An 8,739-nucleotide genomic window follows, 5' to 3' on the forward strand; every position below is an offset into this window, starting at 1 on the left:
AGTGCCTTCTGGGTGTTCCTCAGCTTTCGCCTTTAATTAGATCTTTATTCCAAATAGCCTAGAAAATCTCATTTGAAATTACTCCAAGTTATTATAATAGATGATAAAATGTATTATTTGTTCAAATGATATATCCATTTCCCACCCCTGCTGTGCTTCCCTGAAGCAGGACTACACCCACTTCACTGGCTTTGAATTTGGTCCTGTGACTTGATTTGACCAGAGGTGTGTGGGTGGATGGGATGTATGCCACACAACAGAAGCTTCAAATGCCATTGCTTTAAATGCAGTCACTCCTTGCATGCTGCTGTCTGCCATGAGCATATGCATGTCTCAGATAGGAGCGTCTCCATTGACTTGGGTCCTGAAATGAGAAGACATGTAGAGCCCAGCCTAGCCCAGTGGAACCGAGTGAAGTACTGTGGGTGAGAAGCAAATGATAGAGGTTTCATTTATTATTATGATAAAATCTGACAGATATCCAAATGAACAACCATAGTGATAGCAGCAGGAGGCAGACAAGCTCCTAGGCAGGCAGGGGTGGGTCCCTGGTGAAACTGGACCTTCAAACCAAAGACAGTTTAAAGCCTGAAAATCAAGGTACGAGTCTCAGATAAATCCATGGGCCGGATGGAGAACCTCTCTTCCTGTTTAGTGTGCTTTCCTCTGACTGATGCCACCCTTCCCCTATTTTGCATATACCTACCCTTCCCTAATTGGTTTTTTACACTGTTATGCCCATCTTTGAGTGGTGCCTTTTTTTTAAAATTTTTTTATTTTTTTTTATTGATCATTCTTGGGTGTTTCTCACAGAGGGGGATTTGGCAGGGTCATGGGACAATAGTGGAGGGAAGGTCAGCAGATAAACAAGTGAACAAAGGTCTCTGGTTTTCCTAGGCAGAGGACCCTGTGGCCTTCCGCAGTGTTTGTGTCCCTGGGTACTTGAGATTAGGGAGTGGTGATGACTCTTAACGAGCATGCTGCCTTCAAGCATCTGTTTAACAAAGCACATCTTGCACCGCCCTTAATCCATTTAACCCTGAGTGGACACAGCACATGTTTCAGAGAGCACAGGGTTGGGGGTAAGGTCACAGATCAACAGGATCCCAAGGCAGAAGAATTTTTCTTAGTACAGAACAAAATGAAAAGTCTCCCATGTCTACTTCTTTCTACACAGACACGGCAACCATCCGATTTCTCAATCTTTTCCCCACCTTTCCCCCCTTTCTATTCCACAAAACCGCCATTGTCATCATGGCCCGTTCTCAATGAGCTGTTGGGTACACCTCCCAGATGGGGTGGTGGCCGGGCAGAGGGGCTCCTCACTTCCCTGTAGGGGCGGCCGGGCAGAGGCACCCCTCACCTCCCGGACGGGGCGGCTGGCCGGGTGAGGGGCTGACCCCCCGACCTCCCTCCCGGACGGGGCGGCTGGCCGGGCGGGGGGCTGACCCCCCCACCTCCCTCCCGGACGGGGCGGCTGGCCGGGCGGGGGGCTGACCCCCCCACCTCCCTCCCGGACGGGGCGGCTGGCCGGGCGGGGGGCTGACCCCCCCACCTCCCTCCCGGACGGGGCGGCTGGCCGGGCAGGGGGCTGACTCCCCCACCTCCCTCCTGGACGGGGTGGCTGCCGGGCGGAGACGCTCCTCACTTCCCAGATGGGGTGGCTGCCGGGCGGAGGGGCTCCTCACTTCTCAGACGGGGCGGCTGGGCAGAGACGCTCCTCACCTCCCAGACGGGGTCACGGCCGGGCAGAGGCGCTCCTCACATCCCAGACGGGGCGGCGGGGCAGAGGCGCTCCCCACATCTCAGACGATGGGTGGCCGGGCATAGACGCTCCTCACTTCCTAGATGGGATGGCGGCCGGGCAGAGACGCTCCTCACTTCCTTGATGGGATGGTAGCCGGGAAGAGGCGCTCCTCACTTCCTAGATGGGATGGCGGCCGGGCAGAGACGCTCCTCACTTTCCAGACTGGGCAGCCAGGCAGAGGGGCTCCTCACGTCCCAGACGATGGGCGGCCAGGCAGAGACGCTCCTCACTTCCAAGACGGGGTGGCGGCCAGGCAGAGGCTGCACTCTCGGCACTTTGGGAGGCCAAGGCAGGCGGCTGGGAGGTGGACGTTGTAGCGAGCCGAGATCACGCCACTGCACTCCAGCCTGGGCACCATTGAGCACTGAGTGAACCAGACTCCGTCTGCAATCCCGGCACCTCGGGAGGCCGAGGCTGGCAGATCACTCGCGGTTAGGAGCTGGAGACCAGCCCGGCCAACACAGCGAAACCCCGTCTCCACCAAAAAAATACGAAAACCAGTCAGGCGTGGGGGTGCGCGCCAGCAATCGCAGGCACTCGGCAGGCTGAGGCAGGAGAATCAGGCAGGGAGGTTGCAGTGAGCCGAGATGGCAGCAGTACAGTCCAGCTTCGGCTCGGCATCAGAGGGAGACCGTGGAAAGAGAGGGAGAGGGAGACCGTAGGGAGAGGGAGAGGGACGTGCCTTTTTTTTTTTTTTAGCCAGTTTTGCATACTTACAAACCAGTGAGCATGCACTCCCCCATTCTGATCCATAAAAGCCCCTGCTCAGCCACACTGGGGGACTACCCACCTTCGAGGGGATCTACCTGCTTTAGGTGGGGGACCACCCACTTCCAGTCCCCTCTCTGCTGAGAGCTGTTCCGTCACTCAATAAAACTCTTCTCTGCTCTTCACCCTTCAGTTGTCAGTGTAATCTCATTCTTCTTGGACATGGGACAAGAACTCAGGACCTGTGAACCCAAATCTCATCTTGAAATATAGCTCCCACAATTCCCAAATGTTGTGGGAGGGACCTAGTGGGAGGTAATTGAATCATGGGAGCAGGTCTTTCCCATGCTGTCCTCATGATAGTGAATGTCTCACGAGATCTGATAGTTTTATAAAGGGGAGTTTCCCTGTACAAGCTCTCTTCTCTTGTCTGCCTCCATGTGAGACATGCCTTTCGCTTTCTGCCATGATTCTGAGGCCTCCCCAGCCACATAGAACTGTAAGTCCATTAAACCTCTTTCTTTTGTAAATTGCCCAGTCTCAGGTATATCTTTATCAGCAGTGTGAAAATGAACTAATACATGTGGGTACGAAAAAGGCTATAACACTGTAGCTCCAGTTTTCCACCAGTGCCAGGTAGTCACTCCATGTGACAGGAAGCAGTGGGAGGGCTGGGCCAGCCCTGGAGCTGGGGGCTGGAGTGGGGTAGCGAGACCAAACAAGTTGTAACACAAACAGGCTGAAGCAAGCCAAGTGCAGCCACATGGCTGAGCAGGCGGGGTACCTCCAGCTGTGAGCTCAGAGCTGAGTGGAGCCCCAGTGGGGGCGTTGCCAGCTGGGTAGGTCTCCAGCTGGTGAAACAGCACTGAAAAAGTCCTGCATCAATAGTTTTCATTTGTGTGTCAGATTCTGTGCTAGGAATTCCCATATGTTATCATGGGTAGGGCCTTTATATGGTTTGGATGTTTTGCCCCCTGCAAATCTCATATTGAAATGTGACCTCCAAGGCCAGGCATGGTGGTGCATGCCTGTAACCCCAGCACTTTCAGAGGCAGAGGCAGGTGGATTGCTTGAGGCCAGGAGTTTGAGACCAGCCTGGCCTATGTGGTAAAACCCCGTCTCTACTAAAAATACAAAAATTAGTCCGGCATGGTGGTGAGCACCTGTAGTCCCAGCTACTCCAGAGGCTGTGGTGGGAGGATTGCTTGAACCCAGAAGGTGGAGGTTACAGTGAGCCAAGATGGACTCCAGTTTGGGGGACAGAGTGAGACCCTGTCTGAAAAAAAGGAAATGTGACCTCCAGTGTGGAGGTGGGGCCTAGCAGGAGGAGTTTGGGTCATGGGGGTGGATCCCTCATGAATGGCTCGTGGTTGGTAATGATTGAGTTCTTGTTCTGAGTTCACATGAGGTCTGGTTGTTTAAAAGAATGTGGCCCTTCCCCGATCCTTTCTTGCTCCCACTCTCACTATGTGACACCCCAAATCCCCCTTCACCTTCTGCCATAATTGAAAGCTTCCTGGGCCTCACCAGAAGCCAAGCAGATGCTGGTACCATGCTTCTTGAACAGCCTGCAGAACTGTGAGCCAAACAAACCTCTTTTCTTTCTAAATTACCCAGCCTCAGGCATTTCTTTATAGTAACGCACAAAATGGCCTAATGCAGGCCTCTACACCCCTGATGTATTTCTATTCCATGTTGAGGAAAGGGGCTCAAGGAGGTTAAGTAACTTTCTAACTCAAGCAGTGGCAGAGTTGGGAAATGAATCCAGATGATGTAGACTCTAAAATCAGTTTTCTTTCCTGCCTGCTAGGATCCTCCTGTCTCAGTCATTCCTGTTGTTCTTCATGATGCTAAAGAATTCTCACTGAGGCCAGGCACGGTGGCTCACGCCTGTTATCCTAGCACTTTGAGAGGGTGAGGTGAGTGGATTGCTTGAGCCCAGGAGTTTGAGACCAGCCTGGGCAACATGGTGAAACCTTTTCTCTACAAAAAAATACAAAAATAAGCCAGGTGTGGTGGCACATGCCTGTAATCCCAGCTATTTGGGAGGCTGAGGCAGGAGGATCTCCTGAGCCTGGGAGGTGGAGGCTACAGTGAGCTGTGATTGTGCCACTGCATTCCAACCTGGGTGACAGAGCAAGATCTTATCTCAAAAAAGAGGAAGAAAAGTCTCATTGGAATTGATTATATTACAGTATCTTTTGTCAAAAGTCTGTTGGAACCCAGAACCCCTTATGTCCATACCTGGCATTGGTTCCTGTAGGAGTTTGGTGAGATTTTACTCTGGGTGGCCTTTCATATATTCTCAACAAATCTCTCTTTTTCTTCCCATAGATCTTTCAAACTTTTACATTCCCTTAAGTCTTTCACTCCTCATGTCCTCCTTATCTTTTTTCTTTTCTTTTCTTTTTTTTTTTTTTTTTTGAGACGAAATCTTTCTCTGTTGCCCAGGCTGGAGTGCAGTGGCACAGGCCTGGCTGCAACCTTCACCTCCTGAGTTCAAGCCATTCTCCTGCCTCAGCCTCCTGAGTAGCTGGGACTACAGGCATGTGCCACCACGCCCAGCTAATTTTTGTATTTTTAGTAGAGACAGGGTTTCACCATGCTGGCCACGCTGGTCTTGAACTCCTGACCTCAGGTGATTTGCCCGCCTTGGCATCCCAAAGTGCTGGGATTACAGGCATGAGCCACCATGCCCGGCCTTCCTTATTCTTACCAATGATTTTTTTCTTTCATTTTAGGAGGGATTTTTAAACTTAAGCAAGTACCAGAATCACTGGAGGGTGATTCTGGTTTCCTTTTTCTTCTTTTTTTAGAGATGGGGTCTCATTCTCTTGCCCAGGCTAGAGTGCAGTGGCACTGTCATAGCTCACTGCAGCCTCCAACTCCTGGGCTTAGATGAGCCCCCCTCCTCAGCCTCCTGAGTAGCTGGGACTACAGGCAAATGCCACCATGCCTGGCTAATTAAAAACAATTTTTTAGAGATGGGGTATTGCTATGTTGACCAGGCTGGTCATGAACTCCTGGCCTCTAGTGATCCTCCTGCCTTGGCCTCCCAAAGTTTTGGGATCACAGGCATACACCACCATGCCTTGCTGCATGACTCTGTTAAGCACAGAGTGCTGGGCCTCACCCCCAGAGTTTCTGATTAAGTAGGTCTGGGGCAGGGCCTTAGCTTAACTTTTCTCACAAGTTCTCTGCTGATGCTGATGTTGCTGGCCCAGGGATGACACTCTGAGAACTACTGGTTTAGAGAAAATAATAGTTATTAAAAGAGAACTTCCTCAGTGACTTGCCACTACTGCCACTTCTTGACACTTCCCTCCTTTCTACCTGCAACGTTAACGTGAAGGCTGGCTGCTTCCACTTGTGATCTGGATCCTAATGCTGTCTGTTTCCTCAGATGTGGTTCAATCAATTTTTCACTTTTTCTTTTTTTGAGATGGAGTCTTGCTCTGTTGCCCAGACTGGAGTGCAGTGGTGCCATCTCGGCTCACTGCAACCTCCCCTTCATGGGTTCAAGTGATTCTCCTGCCTCAGCCTCCTGAGTAGCTGGGATTACAGGGACGCACCACCACACCTGGCTAATTTTTGTATTTTTAGTAGAGACAGGGTTTCACTGTGTTGGCCAGGCTGGTCTCGAAATCCTGACCTCAGATTATCTGCCTGCCTTGGCCTTCCAAAGTGCTGGGGGCATGAGCCACCGTGTCTGGCCTCCTCTGGTTTCTCAATCACTGTTGTGAAGGGACTTTGCAGATGAAATTGAGTTTACTAGTCAGCTGAATTTAAACAGAGAGAGAGCATTCTGGATTATCTGGGTGGACTCAGTGTAATTTTATGAGCCCTTAAAAGCAGAAAAGGAAGGCAGGAGAACCAACCGGGAGAGGTCAGGGAGATTTGAAGTGTGATCAAGATTTGACCTTGCCAGACAAGGTGGCTCATGCCTGTAATCCCAGCACTTTGAGAGGCCTAGGCAGGAGGATTGCCTGAGTCCTAGAGTTTGAGACCAGCCTGGGCAACATAGTGAAACACCATCTGTACAAATAGTTTTAAATTTGGCTGGGTGCGGTGGCTCACACCTGTAATCTCAGCACTTCAGGAGGCCTAGGCGGGCAGATCATGAGGTCAAGAGATTGAGACCATCCTGGCCAACATGGTGAGACCCCATCTCTACTAAAAATACAAAAATTAGCTGGCGTGGTGGTGTGCGCCAGCAGTCCCAGCTACTCGGGAGGCTGAGGCAGGAGAATCGCTTGAATCCAGGAGGCGGAGGTTGCAGTGAGCTGAGATCGTGCCACTGCACTCCAGCCTGGCAACAGAGTGAGACTCCATCTCAAAAAAAAAAAAAGAAAATTAACCCAGCATGGTAGCATGTGTTTGTAGTCCAAGCTACTTGGGAGGCTGAAGTGGGAGAATCGGTTGAGCCTGGGAGGTTGAGGCTGCAGTGAGTCATAATTGTACCACTGGATTCTAGCCTGGGCAACAGAGTAAGATCCTGCCTAAAACAAACAAACAAAATATTTGACCTGCCATTTCTGGCTTTGATAACGAAGCCAAGGATTGTAGGCAGCCTCTAGAAGGTAAGAATAATTTCCAGCTGGCAGCCAGCAAGGAAATGGGGATCTTAGTCCAACAATCACATGGAATTGAATTCTTCCAACAGCCGGAAAGAGAACATTCTTCCCTAGAGCCTCCAGGTAAAAGCCCAGCCAATCCACACTTTGATTTAGGCCAGTGAGACCCGAAGTGACTGTGACTTTCCAACGGGTTCTTCCTGCCCACTGCACAAACAAAATTTAATTCATGGAGATCATGGCATTGCAGTAAAGAGAGAGTTTTGTTGACATGAGGTCAGCCATGCCATGGGGGAGACAAAATTATTACTCAAATAAATCTCCCTGAGCATTTGGGGACTAGGCTTTTTCAAGGATAGTTTGGGGGAAGAGATGGGGGTGGCTCGGCAGTGGGTGCTTGCTGCTGATTGCTTGGGCGTGCAATTATAGGGGTTTGGGAAATAGTCTTCCTGCAGGCTGAGCTGCTTCTGAGTGGGGCTACGGGAGCTGGTTGGCAGGTGTCAGACGTACAAAAAACCTGATAGCATATCTCAAAAGGCCAATCTTAGGTTCTGCAATAGTGATGTTATCTGTAGGAGTAATTGGGGAGGTTGCATATCTTGATCTTGTGACCTCCAGAATAATGACTGGCAGTCGTTTATTTCTACACCTTGGCAGAATTCAGCCTCCTCTATCTTCCTAGGCTGGTGGTCTCTCATTAGCTTTACAAAGGTGGTTGAGTTCTGGGGAAGAGCTATTACCATTTAAACTATAAACTAAATGTCTCCCAAAGGTAGCTTCACCTAAGCCCAGGGATGTCTAAGGGCAGCTTGAGGGCCAAAGGCACGATGGAGGTTTGGCCAGATCAGATCTTCTTCACTGTTATGATTTTCTTACTGTTATAAATTTTGCAAAAGCAGTTTTGCAATCTGCTTGGCTTCTGAACTACAGAACCATGGGATAAAAAGTGTATGAGTTTTAAGGCATTGAGTTTGTGCTTATTTGTTACAGCACCATTAGGAAGCTAATACACCACTTTCTCATCTTTCATTCACTCTTTTGGCAATTGATTTCAGTTTTCTCCTCCATCACTCTACTGAAACAATTATGATCAAGTTTTCAGAGATATTTTGTGGTGTAATCCTACAGATGCATTTCAGGCCTATCTAATTTGATACCTTTGTAGTATTTGAAGCTGCCTGTCACAACTCTCACCTCCTTTAAGTTTCATGACGCCATGCTGTAGGTTTTTCTGTTTTCTTTCTGGTACTTCTCACTTTCCACCAATGGCTTCTTTTTCCTTTGCTGTCACTTTTTCCTTTGCTGATTGATATATTTGCATTCCCTAGAGTTCTAGCTTCTCTTCTCATTTTATGATCTCTCCTTGAGTGAGCTCTTTTTTTTTCATGACTTCTACTAAATAATGATGAAAGAACTTTCTGGGGCCAGGTGCGGTGGCTCACACCTATAATCCTAGCACTTTGAGAGGCCAAGGTGGGAGGATTGCTTGAGGCCCAGAGGTAGAGACCAGCCTGGGAAACATAGGGAGATCCTATCTCTATAAAAAATAAAAATAAGTTGTGAGGGGAGGAAAAACTTTTCCTCCACCCTTGTATGTTCAATGCCTGGGGCCTGTGAATTAAACTAATATAAGACAGATTAACAGGAAAA

The 8,739-nt window shown here is 49.6% G+C and overlaps 1 annotated feature.

The window, feature by feature from the left end:
- Window positions 1,356–2,010: an enhancer, noted in NCBI's record as "H3K27ac hESC enhancer chr8:33515643-33516297 (GRCh37/hg19 assembly coordinates)". NCBI's record gives its function as "activates a minimal SCP1, AML or CMV promoter by ChIP-STARR-seq in naive H9 embryonic stem cells {active_cell/tissue: H9 hESC(naive)}" and the evidence as "EXISTENCE:reporter gene assay evidence [ECO:0000049][PMID:30033119]".

This window comes from Homo sapiens, chromosome 8 (assembly GCF_000001405.40).
Source record: "Homo sapiens chromosome 8, GRCh38.p14 Primary Assembly".
In the NCBI taxonomy this organism is placed as follows: Eukaryota; Metazoa; Chordata; class Mammalia; order Primates; family Hominidae; genus Homo; species Homo sapiens.